The sequence below is a fragment of the Homo sapiens genome, chromosome 2 (genome assembly GCF_000001405.40).
Source record: "Homo sapiens chromosome 2, GRCh38.p14 Primary Assembly".
In the NCBI taxonomy this organism is placed as follows: domain Eukaryota; kingdom Metazoa; phylum Chordata; class Mammalia; order Primates; family Hominidae; genus Homo; species Homo sapiens.
The window spans coordinates 62,150,046-62,150,869 of NC_000002.12; the positions used below are offsets into that span (position 1 = coordinate 62,150,046).

Sequence of the window (824 nt, forward strand, 5' to 3'; positions counted from 1 at the left end):
GTATGTCTATTAAATGTAATAAGTTTGAGCTTGTATTTTGCATGTATTTTACTTTGTTTTATATTTTACAAAATTACCAGTCTGTGATGAATTGGAAATGTTAAAAATCAACCTTACTCACAGTTTGAGAAGCACTGTTCTTGGCTTGTTTAGTTGTATCCAAGTCAGACAGGCACAATTAAAAATTACCTGGTAATAAAGTAAATAATTAAGGCCGGGCACAGTGGATCACGCCTGTAATCCCAGCACTTTGGGAGGCTGAGGCACACCGATCACTTGAGCTCAGGAGTTTGAGACCAGCCTGGCCAACATGACAAAACCCCATCTCCACTACAAATAAAAAAATTAGCTGGGCATGGTGGTGGGCGCCTGTAATCCCAGCTACTCGGGAGGTTGAGGCAGGCAAATTGCTGGAGCCCGAGAGGCGGAGGTGCAGTGAGCCGAGATCACGCCACTGCACTCCAGCCTGGGTGACAGAGCAAAACTCGATCTCAAAAATAAATAAATAATAAATAAATAAATGAGAGGCCATTAGACTCAGACTTCTCTAGTGCCTTAGGTTCCTTTCTAAGCAAATCAAAACCCAACTCAAAGTGGCCTAGGAAAACAAAACTTAAGCATAACCAGTCAAAACCTGCTAACCTCTAACTAGAAACTACCAATCAGAAACCACCAACTAGCCTCTAACTAGGGACTTCCACTTCAACGAATCAAATTGTGGTTTGGCAATGTCCAATTCATGAATCGCGGTCTCAAACCTTTTTAAAATTTTAATGTGTCTAAGTTTATCTAACACTGGTTTGGTAGCCTTGTGATCCTGGTGA

At 41.4% G+C, this 824-nt stretch overlaps 1 annotated feature.

Moving 5' to 3' along the window:
• Positions 506 to 585: an enhancer, noted in NCBI's record as "active region_15849". NCBI's record gives its function as "activates an Ori minimal core promoter by ATAC-STARR-seq in GM12878 lymphoblastoid cells {active_cell/tissue: GM12878}" and the evidence as "EXISTENCE:reporter gene assay evidence [ECO:0000049][PMID:35858748]".